The 19,902-nt window shown below is 37.2% G+C and overlaps 1 protein-coding gene across 4 annotated transcripts in view; it reads left to right on the top strand.

Moving 5' to 3' along the window:
• INTS2 (integrator complex subunit 2) overlaps nucleotides 1-19,880 on the top strand; it is a 62,616-nt gene extending 42,736 nt beyond the window's left edge. For 3 of the 4 annotated variants that reach the window (NM_020748.4, NM_001330417.2, NM_001351695.2), the window contains exons 16-25: nucleotides 242-346; nucleotides 4,076-4,240; nucleotides 7,159-7,360; nucleotides 10,209-10,334; nucleotides 12,787-12,982; nucleotides 15,259-15,510; nucleotides 15,867-15,974; nucleotides 16,108-16,213; nucleotides 17,238-17,414; nucleotides 17,521-19,880. In NM_020748.4, coding sequence (NP_065799.2) covers nucleotides 242-346; nucleotides 4,076-4,240; nucleotides 7,159-7,360; nucleotides 10,209-10,334; nucleotides 12,787-12,982; nucleotides 15,259-15,510; nucleotides 15,867-15,974; nucleotides 16,108-16,213; nucleotides 17,238-17,414; nucleotides 17,521-17,690 — 1,607 coding nt within the window. In that variant the 3' untranslated portion in view covers nucleotides 17,691-19,880. Of the gene's footprint in view, nucleotides 1-241; nucleotides 347-584; nucleotides 677-4,075; nucleotides 4,241-7,158; nucleotides 7,361-10,208; nucleotides 10,335-12,786; nucleotides 12,983-15,258; nucleotides 15,511-15,866; nucleotides 15,975-16,107; nucleotides 16,214-17,237; nucleotides 17,415-17,520 lie in introns of those variants that run through there. The other variant, XR_934509.3, reaches the window with a different exon arrangement.

Here is a 19,902-nt window from a genome sequence, read left to right as displayed (position 1 = left end):
AATTTTCTTCTGTCTAGTTTTAAATTTCAGGACATTTTCCAGATCTTGCTCCAGGTATGTTCTTGTTCTTCCTGTGTAGCCACTTGTTTTCGTAATGATTCTTCATCTTTTATATGCTATATTCGCAGGTTAATTGCATTAAAAGTAATTTGACTTTGTTTTTGTTTCCATTTGGGTTGAAGGTTAAGATTTCTGTTGTTTCTGGACATTTTATTTATTTTACACTTTTTATCTTTGATAGCTGCCATGCAAAGAAAGCCCAAATCATATTCTTCTTCTTTAATGGATCAGATTCCTATCAAATTCCTTATTCGACAGGCTCAAGGGCTGCAGCAGGAGTTGGGAGGTATGTTTTATTTTGCTTTTTACTGCTAAAGTTTATTGTTAAAAAACCTTTCTGTTTATAATGTTATGAAGTGTAATAGGTGCTTAATGTTAAAAATTCAAACAGTTCAAGAGTGAAATTCCTCTTTGCCTCCCTCACTAAATCTATTATTTCAGTTATTGCAAACCAGCCTGCCCCCTAAAACGCAACCCTAGCTATTTTCAGTTGATATGTATTTTCAGGCTTTTTTCTCCTGTAGGTTGAACTGTATGAAATTGCAGATATTCAGCTAATTTAGAGCTACAGAAACAGCAGGTTCTTGTGGTTGAACCTAACAGACACTTAACAGAGGTAAAAAAAAAAAAATTTTTTTAACTCTGAATAGTATTGTACACTACCTCTTTTGTTTGTTTGTTTGTTTTTGTTTTTGAGACAGTGGCTCACTCTGTCATCCAGGCTGGAGTGCAGTGGCATGATCTTGGCTCACTGTAACCCCCACCTCCTGGGTTCAAGTGATTCTCATGCCTCAGCCACTCAAATAGCTGGGATTACAGGCATGTGCGCCACCATGCCTGTCTAATTTATGTATTTTTAGTAGAGACAGGGTTTCACTATGTTGCCCAGGCTGGTCTTGAACTCCTGGTCTCAAGTGATCTGCCCACCTCGGCCTCCCAAAGTGCTGGAATTACAGGAGTGAGCCACCATGCCCGGCCTCCCCTGCCTCATCTAAGGCTTGTTTTTTTTCTTGGAGTCTTGAACATCTTTACATATCAGTACAGGTAGATCTGCCTTACTGTTTCTGATTGTTTTATGATCCATAGTATGGATATATTGTAATATTTTTACTATAAATCCTGTTAAGTAGAAATATTGTAGTGTTTTTTGAAATTAGATATTTTTCTTTCTTTCTTTTTTTTTTTCTTTAGGGAAAGGGTCTCACTACGTTATCCAAGCTGGAGTGCAGTGGGTAACTGCAGCCTCAAACTCCTGGGCTCAAACATCCTCCTACCTCAGTCTCTCTAGTAGCGGGGACTACAGGCCTATGCCACCACGCCCAGCTAATTTTCTAGAGATTTTTTCTTAATTAAATACCTCTTTAATGTTTGAGTGTGGGTGTTTTTCTTTCTGTTAAGTTGGAATTTTCTTTTTCTTTTCTTTTTTTTTTTTTTGAGACGGAGTTTCGCTCTTGTCTCACAGGCTGGAGTACTGTGGTGCGATCTTGGCTCACTTCAACTTTCTTCTCCCAGATTCAAGTGATTCTCCTGCCTCAGCCTCCCGAGTAGCTGGGACTACAGGCTCCTGCTACCATGCCCAGCTAAATTTTTGTATTTTTAGTGGAGACCTCATTTCGCCATGTTGGCCAGGCTGGTCTTGAACTGACCTCAGGTGATCCACCCACGTCAGCCTCCCAAAGTGCTAGGATTACAGGCGTGAGCCACTGTGCCTGGCCGGAATTTTTTCTTTATTATGGTTGGTTTCAAGGAGAAACATGAGCCTTCATTGCTCATCGTTAACCGGATGTCTGCAGCATGTATTTACTTATGTCTTTGTATAATCTTTTTTTTTTTTTAAGTAGAGATGTGGTTTCATCATGTTGGTTAGGCTAGTCTCGAACTCCTGACCTCAAGTGAAGAGCCCTACTCAGCCTCCCAAAGTGTTAGTATTACAGGCGTGAGCCACCGTGCCTGGCTTCTTTGTATAATCTGTTTCCAGAAAATAATGTTATTTTTAACAGCATTTGGCAATTGATATACTTTATTGAAAAGAGTATGAAATGTTGATTAGTTTACACTTTTGTAAGCAGTCTTTTTTGTGATGGTTGGGTATAGTTTTAACTGTATATATACTCCTGTATGCATTTAGAAGTTTAAATGTTAAAGTAATGCCATTTTTGATTGTTACGATGTCTTTTCAAACACAGAAACATCAATTTTAAGCTGTTTCTATGAGAACGGAATTGCGTATTGTTTCTACTGGGATAAAGCAGTGGTATCATTTGATTTGCATAATAAAAGGATAATTAGATCTAAAGTACTTTGATTCCTACTACTACTGCGTAGTCTTACTGTTATGATGATAATAGTATGGTAGCAACAATATTTATTAGGTACTTATGTGTGAAGCACTTAGCATAGTAGTACTTCGTTAATTCATTAACTAAATAGGCATTTTTATGGTGTCATAATTTTTTTTGAGACAGCATCTTGCTCTGTCACCCAGGCTGGAGTGCAATGGCATGATCTTGGCTCACTGCAACCTCCACGTCCCAGGTTCAAGCAATTCTTGTGCCTCAGCCTCCCAAGTAGCCAGGATTACAGGCGTGTGCCACCACGCCTGGCTAATTTTTGTATTTTTAGTAGAGACAGGATTTCCCCATGTTGGCCAGGCTGGTCTCCAACTCCTGGCCTCAAGTGATCCATCTCCCTCAGTCTCCCAAGGTGCTGGGATTACAGGCATGAGCCACCGCACACAGCCTCTCATTATTAACATTATACATAATAGTCATGAATAGTCAAACTGTGGTATAGGTAAAATGTTATAAATAAGGCTTTGATTTGGTAACAAGTTTTCCCATTTCTTTTGGTCTTCTTTAATACTTCTTGAACCAAGAAAAAATGCCCCCCATTGTGGGTATCATCAGTACTGCTTCTCTTGGCTGACATATGTGACTGTGTGACTTTAGGGTTGTTAATGTTAATAAATGTCTTTCAGCATTGTTTGTTCCTTACAGTAGAATGGAGGCATTGCTTACTTTGTATGAATGTTAGGGAGAGATGAGAAAACGTACATAAAGTACCTGAGACCTTTCAGGTATTCAAAGTGGGCAACTTTAATTTTACCATATCTATAGTGATGATTCTCAACAGGGTTGGAGGAAAGGGCATGTTCTCTACAGAAGCCTATCAGTATTTCTGAATAGGACCTTTTCCAAACCATATATGATAGTCCCCAAATGGACATTCTTTTCTCCTCCTTTTCTTTCCTCTACCCTGAACTCTTGAACCATTGCTATGTCAAACAACTTTAGGAGACTGTTATGTTGGGTGGGGTGGAAGAAAGTTGAAAGCTTTCTTTATAAGTAGTAGTTCCCACCTCACTGTTTATCACATTACTTCAGGATCTTCATTTAAGCAGTTTCCCTTGATCAAATGACTGTCAGGAAGTTCTTAAACTGTAGTTTGCATGCACAAGAAGTGCACATTCCTAGGCCTCCATTCTAGAGCTTCTGATCTAGTACCTGGGATGGTATTCATTATTCTGCACATGAAACAAGCTTCCCAAGCTTATGGTGCTGGTGGTGCTCTAATCATTCTTTTTTTATTTTTGAACGGGAGTTTTGCTCGTTGCCTGAGCTGGAGTGCAATGTTGCGATCCTGGCTCACTGCAACTTCTACCTCCCAGGTTCAAGTGATTCTCCTGCCTTAGCCTCCTGAGTAGCTGGGATTACAGGCACCCAACAACACGCCCGGCTAATATTTGTATTTTTAGTAGATACGGGGTTTTGCCATGTTGGCCAGGCTGGTCTTGAACTCCTGACCTCAGGTGATCCACCCGCCTCGGCTTCCCAAAGTGCTGGGATTACAGGCATGAGCCACCGCGCCCGGCCATCTAATCATTTTTTGAGAAACACTGACTTAGAGCATAACCCTCTTTCCTTGTGGGCTGATGGCTTGATAAAAATGAGAGGGGTGGGGAAGCTTCTGGTGTTTGAGCATGAAGAATCCAATTGATTTTCTGTAAATTTTCAAGGGTTGCATTCAGCTTTACTACGTCTCCTTGCTACTAACTACCCACATTTATGTATTGTGGATGACTGGATTTGTGAAGAAGAAATCACAGGGACTGATGCCCTGCTACGGCGAATGCTCCTGACTAATAATGCTAAAAATCATTCTCCCAAACAACTCCAAGAAGGTATAGTAAATTATTGATACTCCTTTAACCCCTTTTGTAGTACAAGGAGATGCTAGGCTAATTGAAATCTTATAATCATACAGAATTTTCCCATGGATATAACAATGTTTTGGTGAATGTATTTTAAGTATATAAAATACTCTTTGCGTTTAAGGAATTTTATGCTCCCTTCCCCTCCCCCCTTTCCTCCTTTCCCCCTTTCCCCTTTTACTCCTTTCCCCCTTTCCCCCTTTTCCCTTTCCTTTCCTTTTGTGTTTGTGTGTCTTTCTCTCTGTCACCCAGGCTGGAGTGCAGTGGCGTGATCTCAGCTCACTGCAGCCTCCACCTGCTGGGCTCAAGCAGTCCTCCTACCTGAGTCCCACAAGTAGCTGGGACTACAGGTGTGAGCCACCAGGCCTGGCTGATTTTTTTAGTTTTTGTAGAGATGGGGTTTCACCATGTTGCCCAGGCTGGTCTCGAACTTGTAAGTTTGAGTGATCCTCCTGCCTCAGCCTCCCAGAGTGCTAGGATTAAGGTGTGAGCCACTGTGCCTGGCCAGGAATTTTTACCATTTCTTTCTGATGTGCTTGTATCTTTTCTCTCATAGGTCCTATATTATATCACTAAAAAGGTGGTGTGGTTTTAGAAAGGTTCTAAACTGGTTAGAAATAAGTGCAGTGTAGGCCGGGCGTGGTGGCTCACGCCTGTAATCCCAGCACTTTGGAAGGCCGAGGCAGGCGGATCATGAGGTCAGGAGATTGAGACCATCCTGCCTAACACAGTGAAACCCCGTCTCTACTAAAAATACAAAAAAAAATTAGCCGGGCGTGGTCGTGGGCGCCTGTAGTCCCAGCTGCTCGGGAGGCTGAGGCAGGAGAATGGTGTGAACCCGGGAGGCCTAGGTTGCAGTGAGCCAAGGTTGCACCACTGCACTCCAGCCTGGGTGACAAAGCGAGACTCCATGTCAAAAAAAGAAATATGTGCAGTGGAATAGGACTATGTAATGGAGAATGTTCTTCTAGATCAGCACTGTTAAATAGAAATATAATGTGAGCTATAACACCTATATATAATGTGAGCTGTAACACCTATAAACTTTCCAGGAAAAAGAAACAGGCAACACTAATTTAAATAATCATTTTATTTGACCAAATATGGCCAATATTTTTTCTTTTCTTTATTTTTTTTGAGACAGAGCCTTGTTCTGTTGCCTACTCTGGACTGCAGTGGTGCAATCTTGGCTCATTGCCTCTCATGCTCTAGCAATCCTCCTGCCTCAGCTTCCCCAGTACCTGAGACTACAGGTACATGCCACCACACCCAGCTACTTTTTGTATTTTTTGTAGAGAAAGGGTTGCCATGTTGCCCAGGCTGGTCTCAAACTCGTGGGCTCAAGCAGTCTGCCTGCCTTGGCCTCCCAAAGTGCTGGAATTACAAGCATGAACCACCGTGCCTGGCCTGCCAATATTATTTCACCATGTAATCAATATTAAAATTTTAATGAGATATTTTACCCCCCACTAAGACTCCTGCACTTAGTCTTTGCAATCTGTTGTGTATTTTACACTTATAACACACCTCAATTTGGACTAGTTATTTCAGATGCTCAATAGCCAGATGTGGTTAGTTGTTATTGGAGAGCATAGTTCTAGATATTTTTTAGTAACAGCAATCTTCTGGGTGCTTACATCCTATAAGGGGACCACCTGGAGGAAAGTTTCAAGTTTGAGCCTTTCAAATAAATGTTAGCTATCAAAAGCAATACTTCAGCATATTTTCCTCTTTCAGTCCTGTTTTTAAAATCAGTCTGGGCTGGACAGTGACTCACGCCTGTTATCTCAGCACCTTGGAAGGCCAAAGCAGGAGGATCACTTGAGGCCGGGAATTCAAAACCATCCTGGGCTCTTGATTGGTAAAGGCAAGAGGGAAAAAAAAAAAAAAAAAAAAAAAAAAAAAGACCAGCCTGGGCAACATAGCAAGACTCCCATCTCTAAAATGAAAAAAAATAAATTAAAAAATAAGATCAGTCTGAATCACCAAGAAAATAAGATTAGTCTTCGGGTCAGTAAAGTGTTTTTTTTTTTTTTTTTTTTTTTGGAGACAGGGTCTGTTGCCCAGTCTCAAGGTTGGAGTGCAGTGGCAGGAACACAGCTCACTGCAAACTCTGTCTCCTGGGCATAAGGGATCTTCCTCTCGAGTACCTGGTATTACAGGTACACCACCACATCCAGCTAATTATTTTACTTTTTGTAGAGATGTGGTCTTGCCATGTTGCCCAGACTGGTCTTGAACTTCTGGACTCATGCAATCCTCCTACCTCAGCCTCCCAAAGTGCTGAGATTACAGGTGTGAGCCACCATGCCTATCCCATTAATGTGATTTTTAAAAAATATTTTTGTTCTTTATGAAAGAACAACTACACTTGCATGAATTTTTCTTAGGGCCCTTATTTTTTTATTTTTTTGAGATGGAGTCTTGCTGTGTCACCCAGGCTGGAGTGCGCTGGTGCAATCTCAGCTCCCTGCAATCTCCGCCTTCCGGGTTCAAGTGATTCTCCTGTCTCAGTCTCCTAAGTAGCTGGGATTACAGGTGCCTGCCACCACGCCTGGCTCATTTTTGTATTTTTAGTAGAGAGAGGGGTTTCACCATGTTGGCCAGGCTGATCTCGAACTCCTGACCTCAAGTGATCCACCCGCCTTGGCCTCCCAAAGTGCTGGGATTACAGGTGTGAGCCACCGCATCCATCTGGCCCTTATTTTAATAAGTTTAGTTGAAATTGTACCTAGGTTTCTGTAGGAAACAATAGCAAGTAACTATAGTTACTTTTTAGCCACATTGTTTTCTTGATTTGTTTGGTCTATAGTCTGAGAGAACACTACTACTTCCTGCTTGATAAACTGTACAGAATTTAGGTTATGATTGCTAAATTTTCTTTTTAGCATTTTCAGCTGTCCCAGTAAATAACACACAAGTGATGCAGATTATAGAACACTTGACTCTACTCTCTGCCAGTGAACTTATACCATATGCGGAAGTGTTAACATCCAATATGAGCCAGCTATTGAATTCAGGGGTTCCACGGAGAATTCTGCAAACAGTCAATAAACTATGGATGGTTCTTAATACTGTGATGCCTAGAAGGTAAATTCAGTGTATTGTTACATGTAATAGATAATTATATAGCAGGGATAATATACAATAACCTAAATTTAATTGTTTAAAAAATTTTTCACCACTCATAGCAGTATTTGTTGACTATATGACAATATATCTCCTTTCTTAAGACTACTAAATAGTTGTTATATCTTTAAGTAAAGCAAACTTTATTGAAATAGAAACCTTACAGTATTTCTAACTTTAGGAAGTTCTTGAAAATTGGGTTATCATGTATAGTTATTTGTGGCTAATTATGATTTAGATCACTGTTATATCTTGGATCTTTGCAGTTGTTCCAAGTTTTGCTGCACATTAAAATCACCTGGAGAGTTTTTACCACTACTGATCCCCAGGTTGGAACCCATGCCAATTAAATCAGACTGTTTGTGGGTGGGAGTCAGGCGTCAGTACTTTTTAAAAGATTCCCCAGGTGATTTCAGTGTGCAGCAAAGTTTGTCTTTAGTCATTGGGTCTCTGCTGGTTCATAGATTGGATCCTTAACACCTGGACAGGTCTAGAAAACAGAATACTGGGCTATAAATAGTATACAAGTTAAGTAGTATATAAGGTCTGCCTCACACCTTTGTATTTTAGACTTTAGCTCCCCAGAGACTACTATTTTCATCTCTTTTATCTTTTTATTCTGGTATTTATATCCTCCCCATATATCTCTTATAATGACTGTAATTTCCTGATTTTCCAATTTAGAAATTATCTGTTGACTTTCTACTCTACAAGGTGAAGGTTAGTTAGCTCTCTTACTTGCTTCCACTCCTGTGAGTCCCACTTCTTCTAATACACATTGCCCCTTTTCCTGTTTCTCACAACACAGGTATATTAAAATTTTTGTTAAAGCAATATTTCAAATGCATATTATTATGACTACAGAAGTGGTTTCATAATTGAGCTATGTGATAATCCTTTAATTACAATTTCATTCTTATGCAAGTGCCCTCCCCCTTACTCAACATATATGTTGGGTTAGTTAATACCTTTTTTCTATTTGCTCAGTTTTTTAAATTGGTATCAATAACCAATAACTAATTCATCCCCAAGCTTCATTATTGAGGGGAAATTTACTTCACACTTAATCATAACACATCAGATAATGTATCATTAACATTTTTTTGGCTGGGTGCACTGGCCCACACCTGTAATCTTAGCACTTTGGGAGGCCGAGGTGGACGGATCACCTGAGCTCAGGAGTTCAAGACCAGCTTGGGCAACATGGTGAAACCCCGTCTCTACAAAAAATACAAAAATTAGCAGGGCATGGTGGTGCATGCATGCCTGTATTCCCAGCTACTTGGTGGGCTGAGGCAGGACGATCGCTTGAGCCCAGGAGATGGAGGCTTCAGTGAGGTGAGATCGTGCCACTGAAACCCTGTCTCAAAAAAAAACAAAAGAAACACTATTTTTTTTTTCTTGGAGACATTCCTTTCAGAGCTTTCTGTCTTCATGTTCCCATCTGGGACAAATTGCTATTGTCACTCTTCTTTGTTGGATTCCATATTTTTCTCTTTCTTGGTTTATATCCTCGTTTTAGTGAATGGAACACACACTCATCTCGCTTCCTGAGAAAGAGAGTGTGGTAAACTTAACTTTTTTGAGATGCTGAATTATTCTCATATGTGACTGATATTTAGCCTAAGTGTGGAATTCTAGTTCATTTTTTAAAAAATTATTTTTTATTTTTACTTTTTAGATACAGGGTCTTGCTTTGTCACCCAGGCTGGACTGCAGTGGCACAATCATAGTTCACTGTAACCTCAACTCATGGGCTCAAACGATCCTTCTGCCTCAGCCTCCCAAATAGCTGGACTACAGGTGCATACCCCCGTGCCTGCCTAATTTTTTTTAGTTTTTGTAGAGATGGTGTCTCACTATGCTGCCCAGGCTAGTCTTGAACTCCTGGGCTCAAGCGAACCTTCTGCCTCAGCCTCCCAAAGTGCTGGGATTTCACAGGTGTGAGCCACTGTGTCAGGCCCTGTTCTTCTTAATTCTAAGAGCTCTTTGTTATCTGAATATTCTTAAATGCCTCTTGTTCTTGTTTCATGTATAAAATACTTTATTCTTTTAGGATATTAATAGTTCGAAAATTTTTTTTCTCCTTATCCCTACATTTTCTGTTTGGAGTTCCTTTTTTTCTGTTTGTATATTTTAATCTTTTTCAAAGTAAAAGCTTTCTTTAAGTGTCTGATGATCCTTGTTTATACAGTCATATTTAAGAGGGGGAAGTTCTCTGGTGGATTCCTGGGCTTCACTGTAAGATCAAGTACCTTCTGTATTTGCATAACCCTTAGTAATTATGATGTGCAGTCATTTTAGTAACCACTTATAATCTATTAATGTCTAATCTCAAAGTGGCATCTCACTTGGAGACTTTATGATGATAAATCCAGAATAGTGACTTATATTTATGGAACTAGATACAGAATGTTTTGGCAAGTCTTATTTCATTTACAGGTATTATGTCATTTCTATTTTACAGACGAGGAAACAGTTTAGAGAGCCTCAGTGACTTACACAGAGTCATATAGCAAGTATGGTATAACTAAGGTTTTAACTCAGGTTTTAATTTTATATGCCATGATTATTCCATTACAACTGTGAACGTTTCTGAAACTACTTTGTGTTTACTGTTTTATCTCTGTGTTTTTTAAAGAGATATTTTAATAGGTTAGATGTCTGTAGCTTAAATTTTTTCAAAGTTCATTCATATGTATTTTCTAATTATTTACTGAATATAACTTTCTAAGATAGAAAGGACTGGATGGCTACAGATTTTAATATATAAAAAACTGTTTTGAACATGTGATTATTTTCTTATCAGGCTATGGGTAATGACGGTTAATGCACTTCAGCCTTCAATAAAGTTTGTACGACAACAAAAGTATACTCAGAATGACCTGATGATAGATCCTCTCATTGTCCTAAGGTGTGATCAGAGGGTTCACAGGTACATGTCATTTGAGTTTCATTTTTATTATAGAGCTGTACTTTGGAGAGTCAAAAGAAATTGATGAAATTCAGTTTAAACTTATATTTTAATTTTTCTTGCAGATAAGTAGGCAGTGTGACCTGTGCGGTTTTTTGTCTTATTTTTTTAGTTGTGTTTATTCATGAAATGTATATTCATTTTAATATTTAGTATGTGATTAATAAAACCTAGCTTTAGAGAAATGCCATTCTTGGTTTTGGTGCCACAAATAGTGGTTTTTCTCTCTCACAATTTAGACCAGTAAAGAATAACTATTTCTGTTCTCACATTAAAAAGGTTTTTAAAAAACTGGTTTCTTGTGAACCGTTACCTGCGTTAAAACTGTGATCTTTTTGGCATGCACAATAGTGATGTTAGCTTCATTGATTCCACATTTGGCTCTAAATCCTTACCAATTGCTAAACTTCAGCATTGCTTTCAAGTGGCTTCATCTCAAAAGGTAGAATTTAGTTAATTCCTATCATTAATCTTTGAGTCACACTTGTTATGATAAGTACTATCAAAAACATATAAGTTGAGGGGCTTTCCTTTAAAGTGATTATCATTTGCATGGGACATAAGATAGATACATGATAAGTTACGTAATATGCTCATGTAGATGAATGGTGTGGTAAATGAATGTTCTTAAAAGTTCAGGAAAGATGCAGAGGAGATGGGACATGGGTAATGTTTCAAAGAGTGGAGTTAGGGCTGGTTCGAGTGCAGTGGTATTTACAACTGATTGATCATAATCAGGTACAGATTTCTTTGTTCCCTCTTCACTCCCACTGCTTTATTTAAACTTAAAAAAAGAAGAGTGGACATAGGGTTTAGGTGAATATTTGTTCATCTAATAGTATAAAGATGGGGGTCAGGGAGTCAAGGAAGGTACTTTGAGAAAAAGAGTAGTATGAGCAGAAGTTTAGAAGCAAGAATGAGGAAGCCGTGAAGAGGGTTATTTTTGAAAAGAGAACATTTTACAGTTGGAAAGTTAAATTGGGGTCAGGCTATCGAGGGCCTTGAATATTAGGCTAATGTGGTTGGGGTTATAACTTAGGAAAAGATGCTTTGTGCTAGGTGGATTAGAGGAGAGAGAAACTAGTAAGGAAGACTAAATAGGACACACTTGATATTTAAACTTGTCTGTCATCAACCAAGGGATGACATTCTCGAAGTGACAAAATCTACAAAATTAGCTAAATATGGTTTGGTAAGATTAAGATCTCATAGGAAATAGGAATCAGAACAAACTGTGTATGTAAATGATGTTAAGTATCTAATAAAAGGAAACCACAATAAATAACACTTCTAGAAAAGAGCTGTTTCTTGAAAAAATGATTTATCATTGTTAAAAATCCACTGAAATAGGTGAGCTTACACCTGAATCACCTTAGGTGATTCAGTTTTTAAGGAAGTTGTTAAATTCTGTTATCAAATTGTATCTAATGTTTTTGTAGCTCGGATTTTTCACTTAACAACTTGTGAACCTTTTTTCATGTTAATGTTCTTATTTCAAATTTATTTTTATTTTTTGAGTTGGGGGTCTTGCTATGTTGTCCAGGCTGGTCTTGAACTCCTGGGCTTAAGCAATCCTCTTGCCTCAGCCTCCTGAGTAGCTGGGATTACAGTTGTGTGCTGCTGTGCCTAGTTTATATTCTTATCTTAATTGGCTATATGGTATTCCATTTTATAGAGCTATGCTTAACCCAATCCCCTAGGATATTTTATTTCTACTTTTTGCTTTTATCAATAGTGCTTTGGTGATTATGTGCATTTCCCCATGCTGAGTATTTCATTAGAACATGGGAAAATGGAATTATTGGGGCAAAAGTGTCGTGCTCATTTTCAAGACTTTTAATTCAGATTTTCATTCTACTATGTAGAAAGGCTGAACTGGTTTACATTCCATAGCAGTGTTTGATAGTATATACTTTCCTGCACTATTTGATATAATGTTTTCCAATTTGATAGGTGAAAATAGATTCCCATTTTAATTTATATTCTTATTAGACTGGACATTTAACAGTATTTACTGGCCATTTATTTCATCTTTATATTTTAGCCTATATTTTTTATTGACTTAAAGAGCTCTTTATCTATAAAGGATATCAGCTTTTTGTACGTGTATTACAGTTTTTCTTCATGCAATATTGTTTTGCCCGCACCCGGTCATCTTTTCTTTAGAATTTACATTATACATATTTGACTTTAGCTGATAAGATGAAACAAGTAATACTATTTATATAAGGGCTTGAAATACAGAGAATAAGAAACATATATTAAACTTTTGAGAATGAATATTTTAGTGGGAAAAGTTAGTATGTACTACTCAGGTTTTTCTCAGCATTTAAACTAAATTGATCATGTTCTGGCTAATTTATAAATTTATATTCTTTCTGATATATTTTTCTTTTCTGCTTTCCTTGTTTAGATGCCCCCCACTGATGGATATTACCCTACACATGTTGAATGGATATCTTCTTGCATCTAAAGCCTACCTTAGTGCTCATCTGAAGGAAACAGAGCAAGATAGGCCTTCCCAGAATAATACAATTGGTTTAGTTGGACAAACTGATGCTCCGGAAGTTACCAGGGAAGAATTGAAAAATGCATTACTGGCCGCTCAGGTAAATTTTGCTAAAGTAAAATTTAGTCAAAAAGAGCAAGGGCTTCTCTACTAGTATAATCAGTTCAATAGATGGCACATTGTGCGCTCCATGTACATTGGTGACATATTGTGCATTTCTTTTATTATAGAATCTATTACAATGATGTTACCTTTGCTTCTGAGTATCAGATATGTTGTATTTCTGAAATCAGGAATAATCTTCATGATATGAATGAAATAGCCATTTAAATAAGATTTATATTTTAATAAAATTTAAGTGTTTACCTATTCTGAGTTTAGAGTTACATGTTTATTCATTCGGCACATTTTTTTTGTTTTTTTTGTTTTTTGAGACAGAGTTTCGCCCTGTCACCCAGGCTGGAGTGCAGAGGTGTAATCTTGGCTCATGGCAACATCCGCCTCCCGGGTTCAAGCAGTTCTCCTGCCTCAGCCTCCTGAGTAGCTGGGACTACAGGCACATGCCACCACACCTGGCTAATTTTTGTATTTTTAGTAGAGACAGGGTTTTGCTGTGTTTGCCAGGCTTGTGTTGAACTCCTAACTTGAGGTGATCCACCCACCTCAGCTTCCCAAAGTGCTGGGATTACAGGCATGAGCCACGGCACCCGGCCTCATTCAACCAATATTTACTGGGACACCTACTGTGTGCCAAGTATTGTTCCAGGAACTGGGGATAGAGTGGTGAAGAAGACAAAATCCTTAGTTATTTGTTTCTTAAGATCAAATGTCAAATTATGGAGACAGACAACAGAAAAACAACTGCATGTATAATAAAATGTCAGGCAGTGATAAATACCATGACAATATAAGCAGTTCAACTTTATATTTAGAAAAGTTTTTTGGCCAGGCATGGTTGCTCATGCCTATAATCCCAGCACTTTGGGTGGCTGAGGTGGGTGGATCACCTGAGTTCAGGAGTTTTGAGACCAGCCTGGCCAACATGGTGAAACCCCATCTCTACTAAAAATACAAAAATTAGCCGGGCGTGGTGGCCCAAACCTGTAGTCCCAGCTACTTGGGAGGCTGAGGCAGGAGAATGGCTTGAACCCGGGAGGCGGAGGTTGCAGTGAGCTGAGATCGTGCCTCTGCACTACAGCCTGGGCGACAGAGCGAGACTCCATCTCAACAACAACAACAAAAATCAATAAAATAAATCAATAAAATAAATCTGTTCCTAGGAGTTTCAGATAAGGGATTGAAGATCATAAAAGCTAACATCTGTGTAGTGCTTACCATATGGTAGGTGCTAGCCTAAGTTCTTTAAATATATTAGCTCATTTAATTTTTATAACCTACCTATGAGGTATAGAGTATTATCTCCATTTTTACAGAGTAGGAAAATGTGACCCAGAGAAGTTAAGTGACTTGCTCATGGTTACACATTTAGTAAATGTCAGAACCAGGATTCACTCCTAGGCACTCTGGCTCCTGAGTCAACAACAACAAAAGAAAACAAAACAATAACAATAACAATAACCAAAAACTCCTTTCCCCAAGAACCATGATTATAAAGTAGTCTAACCTCACTTTATAATAAGTTCTTAATCACTTAGCTCAAGTAATTGTTTTCTCTACCTTAGGCAGTAGCTGTCTATCAGAGGTGGATGTCATGTATTCATTTTTATTTTTTACTTCTTTCTGCTAGATGAGAGTGATTTTAGCTCTCCTTTATATATAGGGGCCTCAAATATATTGCCATTACCCCTCAAGCTACTGCTCTGTGCAATGATGCTCAAGCCTGTAGACTGAGCAATGAGTTGTGCAGGTGGAATGGATGGTAAGGTAGACTCTTTCCTTGTGAAACCAGAGCCTTAAACAGGTTGAAAAAAAGGGAAATCAGGATAGCATACTGGGAAAAGTAGGAGATTAAGAGGAAGGAAAGGACATTCTGGTAGAAGTCATTTTTGCCTAGGGCCTGTTTTGGATGTAACTGAATTCATGATACTCTTCTAGTAGATATTCTTAAACTGGAGTCCATGGATCTATTTTAGAGATATGTGATATCATTATGTAATGATGTTTGTTTATGTATGTTAATTTTTATCGGGAGAGGGTACATAGTTTTCTTTAGATTCTTAAGGGGTTCATAATCCTAAAAAGGTGAGAACCACTGCTCTACAGATTGCTCAGTTCTGCTCTTAGAAGTACCTCTTTGTGTATGTGTGTTTAAGAAATTAGTTATTTTATCATATCTGTTCATGTGAAAATAAAATCTGATTTGTTTTTTAACTTCTTAGAAACTTCTTACTTTTTCTATGTTTTGTTTGCTTATAGGATAGTGCAGCTGTCCAGATTCTCTTAGAGATTTGCCTACCTACTGAAGAGGAGAAAGCAAATGGTGTCAATCCAGATAGCTTGTTAAGAAATGTTCAAAGTGTTATTACCACCAGCGCTCCAAATAAGGGAATGGAGGAAGGAGAAGACAATTTGCTCTGTAACCTTCGAGAAGTTCAGTGCCTTATCTGTTGTCTCTTGCACCAAATGTACATTGCAGATCCCAACATTGCTAAGCTTGTTCACTTTCAGGTCTGTTTCCAAAGAATGATGCTTTGTGTTTGAACTTTATTTTTCTTGGGGGCTTTGAATACTATATTAACAGGGATCATTTAGAAACCAGAGAAAACACAAATGATCCATGGGCTTTTGCAATATGGAGAAAAATCCAGATTTTTAGTTGTTTTTTTTTTTAACCTAATGAAATGTTCGATAGTTTAATCTCTATTCTAGTGCATCAGAAAAGTGAAATGCCAGGTTACATATGGGGCACTATAGCCTTCTGAGCAATTTTTACAGAAAGGAAATGAAATCTTTCATTTGTATTTTTATCTGTACTTTTATAGTTATTTTATTTCTGACTTTTTTCCCGTTTCTTGTTGAGATAGGGTTATCCATGTGAACTTTTGCCTCTGACGGTCGCAGGTATTCCATCTATGCACATCTGTCTAGATTTCATACCTGAGCTTATTGCACAGCCAGAACTTGAGAAACAGGTAATGAGCATTTTGGAGCTTTAGGACAATTGATCTCTCTCTCCAGTCTTACTAGTTATACAAAACATTTTATAATTTTTAATACCTAAAGATATTCTTGAGAAACATGTAATAACTGGATTTTGTATTGCAGATATTTGCTATCCAGTTGCTTTCTCACTTGTGTATACAATATGCATTACCAAAGTCACTTAGTGTGGCTCGTTTAGCTGTCAATGTCATGGGAACTTTGTTAACAGGTATGTAGCCAATCAACATCAACAAACATCTGACATAAATTATTATAGTTCCTATATTTTCTGCATTTAGTGATGCAATATGTTTTTTCTGTCACTCTGAGACAGTATGATACAATATGTGTTAAATACTAGTTTAACTTATGCCGTCTTTTGAATTCTTCTTTTGGAAACTTCTGTTTACAAATGTGATTTATAGTGTAGTGGGAATGAATAGGTAGGCAAATTGTATTTTTCATTTTGTGAATGAGTATATATAGATTTGTAAATATAAGCTTTCTGTATTTTATAAATGGAAAACAAATACACTTTCAGAATGTAATTGTATCAGTAGATAACAAATGTTCATTTATTACAAATGCTCAGAGTTCCAGAAAAATATCATCATATGTATAAATGAAAGATAAATGTATTAGATGTCTTCATAAGTTCTAAAACATATTCTGATATTTTAACCACCTTCTGGTTTGTAGAATAAAATGGTCTGAAAATAAACTACTTTAAAATATATGAACTATAATGCAACCCTTAATGTAATGGCATAGTTAACTTAGTATTCTTTCTCATTATAATATTTCCATAATACCCTGTTGTTTTTCTTTTCATCGTATTTATATCCTGTTATAATTATTTGTAGTGATTAAGAGTTTACACTGCCTGAATTCAATCTCAGCCCCACCACTAACTGGCTTGTGATCTTTAACAAGTTTCTTAACCTCTCTAACCTTTTTTTAAGAGTTTTCTCATATATAAAATGAGTGTCATAATAGTACTTTGGTCATTCATAAGATTGTAGGAATTCAATGAAATAATGCATGTAATGTACTTATTGCAAAACTTGTGCATAATAATTTGTATCTTGGATAAAGACTGAGACTACTAGATTGTGAGCTTTCTGAAGACGGGTTGGCTGTGTTTAGAGAACTTCATATCTCCAGCACAGAGCATAGTTCCCCTTAGTATGTTGTGTAAGCTGTGTTGAATTTATATTTGTAAACTAAAATATTGTTTCATTTTTTTCCAACAGTTTTAACACAGGCTAAGCGGTATGCTTTTTTTATGCCAACTCTGCCAAGTTTGGTCTCTTTTTGTCGAGCATTTCCTCCATTGTATGAGGATATTATGTCTTTGCTGATCCAAATAGGGCAAGTTTGTGCCTCTGATGTTGCCACTCAGACAAGAGACATTGATCCAATTATTACACGTAAGTGGTAACTTATTTTCAAGGGTTATCTTAATATCTCAAACAAAAAGGCCAAATTCCTTTCCAAATTTCTTGGCCTTAATGTTTTTTTTCCCTTATGTTGTAGGTCTTCAACAAATAAAGGAGAAACCAAGTGGATGGTCTCAAATCTGTAAAGATTCATCTTATAAAAATGGATCCAGGGACACTGGAAGCATGGATCCTGATGTACAGCTCTGTCACTGTATTGAAAGAACAGTAATTGAAATAATAAATATGAGTGTTAGTGGAATTTAAAACAAAATTTAAAACAACAAAAAGTTGTTTGCTGCATATACCCAACATGAATCTGCATATTAGTAACAACTCTAAACTGAATGGGAACAGTAAAGTATTGTCTTGGAATCACTAAAACAATTCAATTCAACATGAGTATAGTTTAGAACTTTATGAGAATTATGCTTGCTTGTTTCTGATTGGCACATCTTTGGATCTACTTTGCTGATATGTTTCTATTGTAGCAGCTGAGCTTTTTTTTTTTCCACTGGGAACACATGTAAGAAACTCATTATTGGAAAGGGAATTTGGCCTTGTATTTAGCTTTTGAAGTGAAGACTGCCATGCCTTTAATTTCTTATAAAAATGAGTCTGTGGGTAGCCCTAGTGTTTATTTTAACTGTGAGCTTGTAACAGAATGTGACAAAGATGCAAAGATGGGAGAGGAAAAAAGGGTAAAGGGAAAGGAGAATTAAGGAAATAATAGGAGTTAAAAACACAAGTAGAAATCTCAAAGATTTGCAGTGCAAGTAATAGTAATGCAAGTTGGAATTCTAGTTCTCAAGAAAGAGTATTGAGAAGACTTTTAAAAAGGCAAGTAGCTTTTGTAAATGATTTCTGTGGAAATACAGATGAGGATTTAAAGATTTCACATATTTGCTTCAATTTTTATTAATATATGAAGCCATATGTTTAAAGAGATACTTGAATAATTTGGAATTTTAAGATACTGGTGTAAAAGTGTTTACAGAAACATCTTTGTTCAAAGAAGAACCTGAGAGATCTCATTTAGTTTTATGTTTTAAATTTATTTTTATAATGCTTTATTAACTTACCTAATGCTCAGAGGGGGGAAATATGTATCAAATTAAATGAAGGTAGAGCAATAAAACCCACTGGATTAAAGAGCTCTTGGTTTGTCATCAGGATTATAATTCATATCTTACTTTGAGAAGATCTTTGAGTAAGAAAATGCAGTGTTTGAACCTGAGGAAAAGTTAAAGTGTAGAAAATATTGTCTTGCCGAAGGATTTTGCAGTCCTCTGTCAGTAACTTCCATTGATTAGGCAGACATATTCAGGTAAACCCTAATCATTAAAAAAAAATTATCAATGTAGAAAGTAATTCCCTTTTTTCTCTCTGAGATATACCTCAATCACACACTTCCCCACCCCCACTTGAAACAGACCTCTTCACTTGTGTTTTTTTTTTTTTTTTCCTGAGGTGGAGTCTTCCCCTGTTGCCCAGGCTGGAGTGCAGTGGGATGATCTTGGCTCACTGCAACTTCTGCCACCTGGGTTCAAGGGATTCTCGTGCCTCAACCTCCTGAGTAGCTGGGACTGCAGGCACGCGCCACCTGTATTTTTGTATTTTTAGTAAAGACGGGGGTTTGCCATGTTGCCCAGACTGGTTTTGAACTCCTGGCCTCAGGTGATCTGCCCACCTTGGCCTCCCAAAGTGCTGGGATTACAGGTGTGAGCCACCGCACCTGGCCAGACCGCTTCACTTGTAAAAGAAATTAGGCTAATAAGAAGGTGTAGTTTTTGAGAAATGAAATTTAACTTTAGCCTTTTCACTAGTAAATAGTCACATCTCATTTTCTTCCTTTGTAAAATGGGGTTACTACTGGCCCTACCTCATATTCTATGAGAATGAGTTTGTAGCTGTTTCAAATCATGAAGTGCATAGTATCACATGTGATAGAATATTTATAACTTTTTATTAGATGCTTAATGTTCAATTAAGTAATTTTGATGTGAAAAATAAAAGTAATAAAAGTATCTTAAAAATAGCATAAGAATTTTCATATTTTTAAACAAGGCAGTTTTGTAGTCCCTTAAGATTAAATACAACTGCTCCTTTTTTTTTTAAACTGAGGCCTTGCGATATTTTGTGTGAATAGATATGCCCTAGGAGTTCAGAAAAAGTTAAAAGTATGTTTTCTAATTAAATGCAGTGCACATTCCTGGATCAATATTCAAAGACTGGTCATAACCTGCTGTGTTAAAATAATCACATATGCTCTTTTTCATCAGATTTGTTGATGATGTAAATAAAATGTGTAAATATATTAGTAAATGTTAATATTCATGTATTTTAAGTTAAGGTTATAAAATTTGTCACAATGTGTTTTTTTATTCAAGTGAAAACAGATGTGTGCAGCTATTTTGAATATTGGTTTATAAACATTCATATTCTTTATCAAACGAACCTGTAGTTTTTGTGTTTCATT

Source organism: Homo sapiens, chromosome 17, assembly GCF_000001405.40.
Source record: "Homo sapiens chromosome 17, GRCh38.p14 Primary Assembly".
Classification (NCBI taxonomy): domain Eukaryota; kingdom Metazoa; phylum Chordata; class Mammalia; order Primates; family Hominidae; genus Homo; species Homo sapiens.
The sequence above is the reverse complement of the archived record's forward strand: the minus strand, read 5'-3'. Positions and strand labels throughout refer to the sequence as shown.